Genomic DNA, 14324 nt, shown 5'->3' with positions numbered 1-14324 from the left:
AAGAACAGATCAATGCTGTTCAATTCAGTTCAATAGTTTTGAAAGTACTGTCTTTATAAAAGAAGAAAAACAAGTGCAGAGTTGTGAAGAATGGGGGTGTGAGAAGTGTGTGTGTGTGTATGTGTGTGTGTGGTAAGTACAAAAGACAATGTTTGAAAGAAGTGCAGTTAATACCGTATACAAAGTTATATAAAAAAGGGGCAGATAGAGGACAGAAGGTGGGACCAGTGAGATAAGAGCCTGGGAAATGGAAGCATGAGAGGCAAGTGGGGAAGGAGAGGGGACTTTTCCCTGGAAAAGACCACCACCTGGAAATCCTTTAATGGTACCTACTGGGAACTTGAATACATTAGATAATTCTGTAGTATGTCATAGTTTATAAGGCCACATTGCTACTGAGAGATAGAGATAGAGATAGATAGATAGAGATCGAGATATGGAAATAGGGATATAGAGAGCATGCCTGCCCTTCTCTCTTTTCAAGATGTTTATAACCTCAACCTGAAGTTATGACGGTGGAAGAAAAAGCTTAGACCTGTAGGTTCTCTCAGTTGAGGGCAGGTTTCTAATCAATTTTGTCATCCACATCCCAAACAGTTTTCACAGTAATAACTAAGAGTGACTCTTGAGCCATACTGTCATGTAAATGCCAAAAGTACTTTGAATAGTAGTTACTGTATTTTCAAGTGCTTTATAAATCGATTATATGGTACCCAGTTGGAGTGATTATTTTTTGAAACTCAATTTACTTGTCAAGATTGCTTCAAATGTTATGTCCCCAGTCTTTTTTTTTTTTTTTTTAAGATATCTTTTAGAAATAGGCAGAGGCCCTACAAATTACAATCTGCTTTGAATCTTAAGGATAGAGAGTCGTTAATTATCTGACACCAGAAGGGAGAGCAGGGAAACCCACTGGGGAATGGAATCCCTTCCCATTTTACAGCATCCTTTTTCTTTATTAATTTTAAGTTGTAATTCTTTCCTTGGTCAATCAACTCAAAGCTGTAAATGCTCATATGAATCAATGTGCTGTACCCCAGGTGAAGTCTAGTTGAATTGAAGGCAGGAAGCAATCCTGCAGTGGTTGCCTTCTAATCAAGTAATTATTTACTACACTGCCATCTGTCTTTATTTTGCTAAGCCACTTGATCAGACACAGCAGTATCCCCGTGCTCTGAGATGTTCACAAATCATGCTGTACTTACATGGAATACTTGACCACAATATATGGCAAATCATGTTCCATCACTTTATTTCTTACCAGTACAATTTTGACTCCTTGTTGTAGTTGGAAAACTTGCTAAATTCCTCTGGGAAGTGAGCAGTATGAAATATCATGGCTTTTTTTGTGTGTGTTGTCAGGCAATAATTTATTAAGAGAAACTATCAGTCATCAGTATTGGATGAGTTGCTACAGTATACAAGTTACAATGTTATGAGCATCGATCTTATTTATATTAAAAGTTATTCTCACATAAGCCTGTGATACAATATAAAAATAATTGTCGTTAGCTGGTAAATTATCTATAAAGCTGATTTCTATTCACTGCTTTATTAACTACAGTATATGGGCACTCTGAATTGCTAATATTTCCTTTAAATTATAATCTGTGATGACACTGTGGTGCCTGTGTTGGAAAAGCTATGATGACAATCATTAACATAGTATAATGCAATACTTAAGATTTATTAGGCCCTTATTAGGCCCTGAATTACAGCATAATATAATGAAATGCAAGTTTATTTCTTCCAATTCAAAATCTAATAAGAGGTTTGTGTCGTAAATTACATAAACCTCAAAACAATGCATGGAAATGTGGCGGAAAGTTAATTTCTATCATGTTGTTTTTCTGCGTGTTCTTCATGTATTTGTGTAACATTGTTTTTCTTTGTTTACCCTAGATAGTTGGTACTTGTAATTATTTTATTAGCATCCAATTGCATTTTCCCTTTCTTGACTAAGAAGCAGAAATATTTCAAACATCAAAGTTTATTTAAATAGGATACAACCCTTGGGAAATTAAAAGGGGATGCAGTTCACTGCCAGGATTATTTGAGAAATATTGCAAAACTTGGTTGCTGTATTGCTTTATAGAAGTAAATTGATGGTGCATCTTGGCAGATGGAACAATGAGGGGTGGGAGCAATGCTTTTCAGCTACATCACATCTTTCAGCTTGAAGAGATCAACATAACACACAAAGCAAATGTGTAATCTAAATACAAGTTATATTTTGCATTCTCATTTTTAGATGGAAAACATTACAGCACAAAAGCCAGGAGAAAAAAATTAAAGTAAAACCTAGGAAGTTCGCAACAGAACAGTTCTCTTAATACTAAGTTCTTGTAATTGCCCTCAAAGTCAGGTCTATGTTACCATAGACAGGCAGCCCCCTTGTTGGGTGTCTTAAGGAACACATAGAAACAGCTTTGCCTCATTCCCAGAGCTCAGATTTCACCATTGCCTCTCTTTATATGTCACCATCCTCTCTAGCTCCTCTTTTTCAAAGATAAAATAGGGGCTTTCAAACAGATACAGGTTTGAATCCCAGCTGTACCAATGACTAGCCTTGTGAATCTTGGGTAAGCCCCCATTTTACCAGTTGTAAAATGGGGACAATGATAATACTCTCCTCATAGGGTAGCTGGGATGATAAATGCTATGTGTGAACAAGAAGCATAATAGATGGCACATAATAAGTGCTCAAATATTTTTTGTTGTTGTTGAGACGGAGTCTCGCTCTTTCGCCCAGGCTGGAGTGCAGTGGCGCGATCTCGGCTCACTGCAAGCTCCGCCTCCCGGGTTCACGTAAGTGCTCAAATATTTTAACTATGTTGCTACTAAAGTATTAAGTTCTACTAGGAGGGAATATACATTAATAGTGAATACTCACTGAGTGGGAGTTAGTATTTCTGATCTGGAGATTTAAAATGTCCATAAAGAAGAAAAGGGGCATAAAAAGGAAGGCTAAAGGCACCAAGAGATAACCTTTTGTGCTACAATTTTGCATAGGATGCACTCTCCTCGCTGTTTTATTTTTTAATGCTTCATTATCATAGAGTATACATAATCAGATAGTAGCTCTCTGTCTTATACAAACACTTGATCTCTAGTTTTTTTCTTCGTCCTCCTCTTCTCCTACAACATACCAGAATGGTTGCATCAGAAAATTCACCTAATCCACTCATATTCTTTCCTGTTTTGATGTAGACAATAATGAACCAGCAAATAGAGTATGAATCGATCAGGCAATAGCCCTTAAGAATTCTTTTTTCTGTCTGCTGAACCTACTCTCAGAAATACCCTGATGCCGCTCCTGTACCTTGGAGACTTCATGCTGCCAGAGAAAACTGGACAACCACAACTGGGTTTTCACTGTTGTACACTGATCAGTTCTTGCTGATCTTTTTCATTCTCCATCATGACTTTTTAAAATGCTTACTAGTTTCTTCTCATTCTCAGTTAAACCATTCCTCTCTTGCTTTTAGAAGTAAACCATTGCTCCAGCTTAATAGAAAGAATTGAGACTATTGTGCATCATCTTCTTCAATTTACCACTCTACTCTCACAAATCCACATATCCCATCATCAATCCTCACCTCCTTTGCTCCAATTTTAGATGAAGTGGTTTTTTTTTAATTTTTAAAAATTTTTTAATTTTTTTATGTTTCAGGCCAACTCTTCCATTCATGCCTTTCCCTCAATTTTCTGTTCCTCCTGGATCTTACTCCGTGGGTCGCCCCTTTCTTTGCCTACGTCTTCAATTTTTTCACTCTCTTGTGCCATTTCCTCAGTCTGGAAACATGATTTGATCTCCCAGAGATCTATAGTTTCCCCACAGTAAGCCTGCTCAATCTCATTCCTCTTGTTACCATCCAAGCTTCTCAGAAGGGTTGGCTACATCCATATTCTCTGCTTGTTCATCTGATAGTCTCTCCTCAACCCACTGCAATCTCGATTCTGATAACCCTGCTTTACAGAAATTGCTCTCACTAAGATTACCTATGTCATGCCAATTCCATTTGATTCATGATCTTACTGTACATTTCTGCTGCATTTGGCAATGTTGATTATTCTCCCCATTTTGAGCACTGTACTCCCATGGTTTACCTGACCCCAGACTTCTGGTTTCTTCACCTTTCTGACTTCTCCTTCTCTTCTTTGGGGCCTTTTTCCTACACTTTCGAGTCCTTGGCTACATGCAGTCTTTGAGTTCTATTTTCTAGGGTGGTGGTTTCAATCCACATTAGCCATGATGTCTCCTGTATTAGTCCGCCCAGGCTGCCATAACAAGTGTCACAGACAGGGTGTCATAAGCAATAAAAATTTATTTCCTCACAATTCTGGAGGCCGGAAGTCCAAGGTCAAGGCATCGGTAGGATTGATTTTATTCTGAGGCCTCATTCCTTGGCTTGAAGATAGCTGCCTTCTCACCATGTCTTCACATGATCACCCCTCAGTCTGTATCCTAATCTCTTCTTATAAGGACATCAGTAATATTGGATTAGGGCCCACCCAAATAACCTAATTTTACCTTAATTACCTCTTTAAAGACCCTGTCTCCAAATACAGTCACATTCCGAGGTCCTGGGGGTTAGCACTTCAACATATGAATTTGGTGGGGGAGACACAGTTCAGCCCATAACATCTCCTAAATCTGTATTTCCAGCTCAGATTTCTCTTTTATGATGAGGACTGTCTAACTGCCTATTAGACATTTCCCGTAGGATTTCCCAGAGGAGATTGTTTGAAATTGAGCCAGGCATCTCCTCATTAAACCTATACTTCCTCTTGCATTTCCCATTTCCATTGGCTCATCCAGTCAGCCAGGGAGTTTTTCTTTACTCCTCCCTTTCCCATATCCCACACATTCAATCAACTCCCAAACGCTGCTCTTTGTACCTGCAAAATACTTTTCAATTCTGTTCTTTTCTCTCCATCCCTACTGAGGCTGCCCTAGTTCAAGCTGTCACCTTGTCTTGTTTGATTATTGTAGAACTCTTTGATTTATCTATTTCCATTCTAGTCCTGAGTCCATGCCCCATATAACCGAAAGAGCATGATATCTAAAACCCAAGTTTGACCACCTTATTCCCTCATTTGAATCTCTCTGATGGTTCCTCATTACCTACAGAATGTGATCCATCTTTTTAATATGACAAATGAGGCTTTTACAGTCTAGATCCTCCTTATAGTGGCAGCCCCATATTTTACTATTGTCGGCTTCCTACTTTTCAATTCAGTAACATGAATCTGCTTTTGGTTGTCTACATATTCCATTCCTCTCTATTCTCATGTCCTCACCTTTACAAATGCTTTCCTCTTTGTCAGGAATGCATTCTCCAAACTGTCTCCTTACTTTTCTCTCCCTCAACTTTGTCTGGTTAACTCCTACTCATCCAGTGCATCGCAAATCAAAGGTAATTTTTGCCAGAATGCCTTTTTGGAGTGAGTTAGGTGCCCCTTCTTTCTTTCCCATAATTCCTTATTTATACCTATTATAATGCTAATAATTGATCTACTTCCCTTACTAGGTTGTGTGTCTCTTGAGGGCACGACAGAATTTATTAATCTTGGTCTACCCAGCACCACTTGCACCTACACTATGCCTGGTACATAACAGGCACCAGAAAAGCATTGTTTTTTCTTAATGTTGTGTTGTAAGTGGACTCTGTCGTGAAGCTCAGCGGAAGAGGGAAATCATGAATTCATGTCTTGTGCTAATTTTTCAGTAAGTATATCAATATGTTCTTTATTTCATACACAAAAGAGTATGTTTAAATTCTAAGACTAAGCAAATATACCAAATTCTCTACAGGGAAAAAACAAAGAGTCACTCATCTGAATTAGTGTTTCTGCCTCTGACTTAGATTAGTGATTCACAGCATGATACATTCAGGCTCATTTCCATGTTAGCTACAAACCAGTTCATAGACTCTCAAAAGCAAAATACGTGTTTTTCCAAGGAAAGAATTAATCTTCATTTTCTGAGACATCTTGCAGAAATTAATTTGGCAGGTTATTTTACCGAAGGTGTTTATTTTCCTTGATGCTGGCTTTGTGGTTTTGTGATAAGAAAAATAATTGATGACTACCTTGAATTCCTCTATATTTCTGGTTAGCAGGGCAAAGGCTACTTGTCTTAGCATTGAAGAAAATACTGGGGGAACTATATGCACTACGAGTAGCACTAGAATGTAAGCTCCACTGTCAAGGAGTTTTGTCTATATTGTGCCCTGCTGTATCCCATAACAATGTCAGGCACAAAGTAGGTGCTCAATAAATACTTGTTGGTTGAATAAAGAAAGTACATACCTTGCACCTGAAGAACCTGAGAGATGTCAAATCCTTGGCTGATTCTGACTATAACCACGCCAATCTCAAAATCAAATGCATCACTGAAAGAGGAAGCAAAGCAGTCAGCGTTTTAAATGGCTCTTTTAATCCTCAAGCTTTGGACTAGTATTACACTTGCTTCTAGGATTTTGATATAATGAAACTATTAAAATCCACCTTAGAATATAGCCAAGAGCTGATGCATTTGTTTGTTTGTTTGTTCTTCCCCTATGCGTTTTTAAAGTATATTTTGGGTAGAGGTAACTAAATTATTCACTTTAGCCAATTTGTTCAAATAATACTATAAATCAGAATTTTGATTAAGAGCTTGTTGCATCTTTTAAAAATAATCGAATCTTTTATACAGTGAGCAAAACAATCACTGGTATATTTAGAACAGAGAGTTTACAGACTGCAAAGACTCTTTGAAATGATTAGCCACCACCCCCAACCTGGCCGCCTCCCAGAAGGACTCCTGTAACATTTCTGACATCAAGTTCATGGTTAGAAATTTCTCCAGTTCCTCTATAGAATTTTCAGAATTGACTCTAAACCGGTCATTTGGAGCAATGCTTTTTCATGGCAACTCTACATACTGGCTCTTGTGTTTTCTCTGTATTCAACCCAAAGGAATTAAATTACCTAGAAGAGAAATAAAGTCTGTCTTTCTTTTATCTCTGTTTGAAGAGATTAAAGTTTAAGAGATAAATGTTTTCTCTGGTGCTAAATATGGAAGCAAGTCAATTAATACTTTGAGTCATTTAAATTTTTTTCATTGGGAGGTCCTTTGTTTATACTTCTATGGATCTAAAACTTAATGACTTCTTGCCATTAGGTCATCCTACCCCAGAAACAATTGTCCCACCATATGCAAACGGTTTCCAATGGCCTAGGTAAGTCTGAATTTTCATTTGGTATACATAAGTTTGGTGCAATATGAATATCCACTCAAAATCCAAACCATAAGTAATCTTTACTTAACAGAATAGTTCTATTCTGGCACAAGCTGTCACAAAGTAAATTCCTCATAAACAAATCTTGTTTCTGATTGTCCTCAATTATAAAAAGTAGACAATGTGCTCCACAAAAAAATTTGGATTCTATGTTAGGTAGAATAATGCACCCTCAAAGTATCCTAATTCCTGGAACCTGTGAGTGTACTTCCTTACATGGCAAAAGGGACTTGGCAGATGTGATTAGGTTAAGGACTTTGAGATGGGGAGATTATCCTAGATTACCTGGATGGGACAAGAGTAATCACAAGAGTACTTAAAAGTGAAATTAGGAGGCATAAAAGGAGGTCACAGTAATGTGGTGTGAGAGGAACTTGACCAGCCATCGCTGGCTTTGAAGATTGAGAAAGGCATTCCTGAGCCACACCCACATGAGGGGAGCTTCTGGAAGCTGGAAAAGGCAAGGTCAGAAATTTATCCTAGAGCCTCCGGAAGGGAATGCAGCCTGGCCCACACGTGCCAGACTAATCGACAGAACTGTAAGATAATCAAGTGTAGGTTTTTTTTTTTTTTTTTTTTGACAGTCTGACTCTGCCACCCAGGCTGGAGCACAGTGGTGTGATATTGGCTCACTGCAACCTCCGTCTCCCAGGTTCAAGCAATTCTGCCTCAACCTGCTGAGTAGCTGGAATTACAGGTGTGCACCACCACGCCAGGCTAATTTTTGTATTTTTAGTAGAGGTTGGGTTTCATCATCTTGACCAGGTTCGTCTCAAACTCGAGACCTCAAGTGATCTGCCCACCTTGGCCTCCCAAAGTGCTGGGATTATAGGCATGAGCCACTGCGCCCAGCCTAAAGTATTGTTTTAAGCCACTAAATTTTGAGGTAATTTGTTATTGGCAGCCATTGAAAACTAATATATACAAATTCTAATTAAAATTAAACCATACTTGGCTGGGCAAGATGGCTCATGTCTGTAATCCAAACACTCTGGGAGGCCAAGGCGGTGGATCACCTGAGGTCAGGAGTTCAAGACTAACCTGGCCAACATGGTGAAACCCCATCTCTACTAAAAAATATAAAAATTAGCTGGGCATGGTGGTGTGCACCTGTAGTCCTGGTTACTTGGTAGGCTGAGACAGGAGAGTCGCTTGAACCTGGGAGCTGGAGGTTGCAGTGAGCCAAGATTGTGCCACTGCACTTCAGCCTGGGCAACAGAGCGAGACTCTGTCTTAAAAAACAAACAAACAAACAAACAAAAAACTAAACCATACTTAAGAATATTACAGACATTTAAAATCTTTTATTCAAAGAAAAATGGTAAAATACTATAGTCTTATAATAATAGCCCTGTGTTAACAATAATACTGTGATTTAAGTCATAAAGCCACAAAAATTGGAAAGGGAAATGTAATATGGATACATGATTGTCATTATTAGCCCCATTGCTGTGCTAGAAAAGTCATTTAACTTTACCAGTCCAGCTAGGTTTTATACTAGTACAAATCTGGGTCACCCTAATATTGAACTTTATTACCAAGGAGATCTATTATTAATTTGTCATAAAAGCCAGAGGCCTCCTTGGTTCAGTATTACTGGGTTTGATTATTTTGCTCCCTTTGGATTTCTAGAATGTTTGGGATGGTAGAGAGGTTGGAAGACAGTCCAAGGTAATTCTATATCAAATAATGGACTATTTCATTGAAGATTTACACGTTACTTCCTATTTGCTCTTTTTCCCCTCCTCCATCCCTTTTGTTCCCCAAGGTGAAGATGAAATTTTACTGAAGAATCTGGGTAACAGAGGACAGATCTGGTCAATTTCCAAGAATGTCTGATCAGCAACTGACTATGATTCTAAATATATCAAAATACTGTTTGCTGAGGCTGGTAAAATTCTGATCCCGATCACCTGGTTTAGCCTTAACTTACTGAACTTATAACACCAGCAGGAGCCAGATGACAGTACGTGGCCCCAGGCTTTATATGTTTGGGAAACACAATGCACTTAATATATAGGTTCCTCACATTAGAAAGACTGTTGAGTGAATTTCTGTTTGTTCAGTAATGCCTGTACATTCAGAAGATAAAAGTTATTTTCTTATGCTTCCTTTCAGTAGAACTAAGAGTACTTTTGTTAATATGTTGCATAAATATAATGATAAATGTTATGATTATAATAACAAGGGGTAGAAGAAATAGCCTGCTTTAAGAAGTGTTAAGCGTATACTTGTTTTCCTTGGATAGGATGAACTTTGAAGTGCAGCTGTATCTCTCAGGGTATGTCATGTACCCTGTAGTCTGAAATCAAAGTGCAGCCAGATCCCAGACACAGGAAACCTTCCATTTCCAGAGATGTTGACACAAAAGATGGCTTTTGGGCATAGCTAACATTGCCGCTCTGGAGTCTGATTAAGTATTTTCAAGCCTAGAAGAAATGCTCAACTTTCTTTTCTTTTTTTTCTTGAGGCAGAGTTTTAATCTTGTTGCCCAGGCTGGAGTGCAGTGGCGCAATCTCAGCTCACTGCAACCTTCACCTCCCAGGTTCAAGTAATTCTCCTGCCTCAGCCTCCCAAGTAGGCGCCCACCACCATGCCCAGCTAATTTTTGTATTTTTAGTAGAGACGGGGTTTCACCATGTTGGCCAGGCTGGTCTGGAACTCCTGACCTCAGGTAATCCACCCGCCTCGGCCTCCCAAAATGCTGGGATTACAGGGGTGAGCCACCATGCCTGGTTGAAAGGCTCAACTTTCTACAGTGTTTCTCTCTGTATGTGTAGAATTTGTTTTCTCTTATTCAAAGGAAGAAACCAAGCCAGGTAATACTTGAAGTATATATGTATACTCCAAATATTACATATTATATACTCCAAGTATTATGTGTGTGTGTGTGTATATATATATATATATATATATATATATATATATACACACATACACACATAAGTATTATATATTATATACTCCACAATTGTGTGTATGTGTATATATATAAATAATATATATATACTTGGAGTATATAATATATATATGAAATACTTTGGAGTATGTAATATATAATATATATAGTATAAAATATATAATACTTGTTTTGGAGTATATAATATATAGAGAAAGCATAGCGTTATAGTCATGAGTTTCAACTTTGAATTTGGATAGTCCTGGGTTGGAATTCCAGCTCTGTCACTAAATGCTGAGATTTTTCAGCATGCTACTTAATTTTTAATGTCTTTTTCTCCACTTGTAGAATGGGAAAAAATATTAGTACTTCCTTCGAAATCTTCTTATGAGAATTAAATGAGATAATACATGTTAAAGACATTAGCCTGCAGCCTGCTAGTCCTTTAAGATCTATCATTATTACTTACATCCTAAGTCTCCTCAAATATTTAGCTATTAGAGGTTATGTACCACCGGAAACTCACATTCTGTGCACAAGCCAATGATGCTCCACCTGGTAGCAGAAGCACCTGGCATATGGGAGCCTCTTAGCAGAGGGAGATATAGGGCTCTGGGATAGTGAACGAATTATCAGAGGCTCAGAAGAAGACAATGACTGAATTGGAGACACCAGCCAACCCAAGATTCCAGGTGTTTTGAAAGAAAAATTTCTCCTTGCTTAGCTGTGCTTTCCTTTTAATCTTGTAAATAGATTTTAAGGTTGTAACTCTAAACATTTACTTTTTTCTCTGACACGGGCGTTTCTCTCACCCTGCCTCCTCTGACACTCTGATTCCCTCAAACTCTATTATTGGTGGTGTTTTTTTCACCTTGGAAAAGAAGTCAGAGTACCAGGGGAATGTACTCTTCTCAGGCAATTTAATCTGACACAACAGTGTTATGTGCAGTACAAGTTATGTACTGCCCTGCTTAGTGCTTTATAAACAAGAACACGTCTTGAAAGCCATCACTTACTGTATGATTCCCACGTAGTTCTCAATCTCTGTCAAGGGAGCTTTCCTCCAGTTTTTCTTATATCCAATCACCAGAGTGTTTGGTTTCATTCTTCCTAAGCCTGAGGCCTAAACAGAGGACATAAAAATGTGGGCAATCCTTACCGTACTGGGAAACTACCATCACAAATGAAAAATAATGTCTAAAGGAGCACTGAAGTAATGTTCTGAAGATCCTGAAGATTAGATTACATTTTAGTGCATGTCCTTCATGCCCGTACCCAAGCATAAAATGGAAAGATTAATTCTAAATCATCCCAGCTATAAATGGATTTTAGATGACAGAAATGTAGCTTTTCTAAATTAGCAGTCATTTGCATTTCTTCTGACACAGTCATTAAAATGGTTCAATAATTTAAAATCAAGTGAGGGTCAGCTTAACTGTTGGTATGCATGTTGTAACTTAGTGGTTCAAAGCTCAATTCCACCTGTTATATCCATAATGTCATTAGCAATAAAATCCATGTTTGGAAAATTCTTATGTACAAGGATCACTAAAATCTCTACTTATGTTATTTATTGAAGAGTGACTGAATTATGTTTCCAAAACCTAATTCTTTTATGTGACAGTATCATTAATAGCCATCTTCCATATCAGAAGTGTTGTTTCCCTTCATTAGATGACAGCATACAGCTTCCAGTTAATCAAATTTAATTCAACAATATTACTAAGCACCTATGAATTGCATAGTGCTATGTCTTGTCCTTTTGCCATGGTTCTCCTGTACTTCACTTTTTATGTGAAGAAATTCATATGAATGTATGCATGTTCAAATTTTCTACCATTTCTTCTGGATTCTAATAATTCTTTTTCATACTTGTGTCTTTTCTTTCCCTGCTCTTATTTTATGTCCATATTCCCATTCCTAGTTGAAAATATTATTTTAAAATCTTGTATGATAATTTTATAATAAATGACTAATAGTGACAACATATTTAACCAAAGAGCTATTGAAAACTAACTTGGTACTGAAAGAAAAATCAGCATCTTGCAATAACACCTATTTCCATGGTTTAGCAAATTAATAACAGATGAAAAGAGGCTCATTGTGGGTAATAGGTTTTGCAGAAATTGTTTCTCTGTACGTGCATCTACTTCGCAAGTGTTCTTAAGGGAAATTAGGCACAGGATTGCATCAAATACTCTTAAGCTCCAAAATATTACCAATTAAGCTTAACCAATATTTTTTCTTTCCTGCCTGCATGCGCATCTGAGTTACCTGGATGCAGTTCTGACTTCTGACACTCTGAAATACAGTAACTCTGAAAGCCAAATGCACCATTTCATATATATATAATTAGGGTTTTCAACCATATTAAACCCAAAATGCTCGGAAAGCCAAGCTCTACAATTTCTGAGGGTCTCTTGGATTGTTTTAAGGATTCTTTGTCACTCTAAATTATGACGATCAGAACTAGGAAAAGATTTTATGTACTTACTATAGCAGAGATGAAGGAAAAAGGAAAAAATAAGGGAAAAAAGATGTGAGAACTATGGGATTTAAGGTTGAGCTGTAGAGATTATTACATTTTATTCAACATTCTGGAAATAATTCAGGAGGATAGGGAGATTTTATGCCCAGATCACCATGCATTAATTTAGTTGGTCTAGCAGCTGCCCTAACACCATTTGCAAAAGAAAAAAGGAAAAGAATGCCTGACTTGAGCATTGCTATATGCAGTATGAGATATAAAAATAGTTTGAAGTTTCAATAGGATCCTGAATGTCGTCAACCACCAGAACAAATTTGCATTTCAATAAGTACGGGGGCAGAATGTATGCTGGTGGCCAAAGGCAACCTCATTTTCCGTTTCCAGTGTATCATTCATAGTTCATTGTAATAGAACTTCTCTGCTTTTGTTCTAGCTTTGCCTATACCCAGGAATTCAAAATAATCCCTTAACCATCTGCACTGATCTCTGATGCTTGGCTGCCTAACTACAGCTGTTCACTTTGGGAGCCTTATTAACATGGAGCACTAATTGTCTTTTGCCTCTGTGCTCATTCCCTCAATGCAGCCTTACCTGAAGAAGACTTCGGACACCATCCCTGAAACAGTCTGCCGCCACTGCAGCATAAAAAGCCTTGATTTTGTTCTTTATAAGCCAGGCCTGTTTTTTCGCCATGCCACTGTTCATCTCCTTAACACACAGTTTGCGCGGTCCCTGTGTGACACAATGAAATATTGGTTAGAACCCTGCTATTATATATCACATTGCTGTTGTTTTCTAAAGGACAAAAATAGCCAGCAATGCCCCATTGAGTTAAGAAATGGGAAAGAGGGAAAAACACCTCACTGAACAGGGTTCCACAGATTCAGCCTTTTGGAGATGACCTGCGGTATTCACACCATTCATTTTCTACCCAAAACATCTAGACTGATTAACATCTGCTTAATTTACTGCCTGACACTGAATGAAAGGAAGAGTTGAGGGCAACATGACACAAGGAAAATACTGAAAATGTGACTGAAGAGGCTTAGGATAAATACACAATCAACCTTTGACTCATTAGCGAGAGCCACTTTCAGGAACACGAAAGAAATCTCAGCTGGAGCCTAATTTCAAGAAATGGACAGAGCTCCATGGGAGGTAGAACATGGTGACCTGCAAATCCTGCCATGAACTGCACATCTTGTCAATTCTATTTGGCTGATGCGTTGCTTTTTCGTGTGGCAAAAATACCCTTATACCACTTTTCCCTGTGTAATGTTGCCACACTTCCATTCAAATACATTAACATTTCCTTGTCATTCAATGAATTTGGTGGGAACAAAGGTTTACGTACCTATGACCTAAGAAGAGTGGAAGAGATTAAGAGGGAAGAAGACAGGTGTTGTGATGGTTGATAAGGCATTTTATAATTTCAAGATTTAGTTCTGGAAACACATTTTTAATGAAAAATTCTATTTTTATTTCTCCTTCCTTAAATGTCCAAGCTAGTTCTTTTCTTCTCATGATGTAATTCAATCCAAAAGTTATTTCTGATTATCTGCCATATGTCTGACAGGGTACAAATCCATTTTCCCAGGAAATTCTTTTAATTTATAGAGAGATTTGTATTTTGTTGAGATGGCTTAGA

General features: G+C 37.8%; 1 protein-coding gene across 3 annotated transcripts in view; it reads right to left on the bottom strand.

Annotated features, from left to right (window-relative positions):
• The window catches only part of SLC12A1 (solute carrier family 12 member 1), a 97777-nt gene that overhangs the window by 23110 nt on the left and 60343 nt on the right, over positions 1-14324 (bottom strand). For all 3 annotated transcript variants that reach the window (NM_001384136.1, NM_000338.3, NM_001184832.2), the window contains exons 18-20: positions 13268-13408; positions 11205-11311; positions 6316-6398 (exon numbers count right to left, since the gene is read on the bottom strand). In NM_001384136.1, the coding sequence (NP_001371065.1) occupies positions 6316-6398; positions 11205-11311; positions 13268-13408 (331 nt within the window). The remainder of the gene's footprint in view (positions 1-6315; positions 6399-11204; positions 11312-13267; positions 13409-14324) is intronic.

Source organism: Homo sapiens, chromosome 15 (genome assembly GCF_000001405.40).
Source record: "Homo sapiens chromosome 15, GRCh38.p14 Primary Assembly".
In the NCBI taxonomy this organism is placed as follows: domain Eukaryota; kingdom Metazoa; phylum Chordata; class Mammalia; order Primates; family Hominidae; genus Homo; species Homo sapiens.
This window is presented reverse-complemented; position numbering and strand designations above follow the sequence as displayed.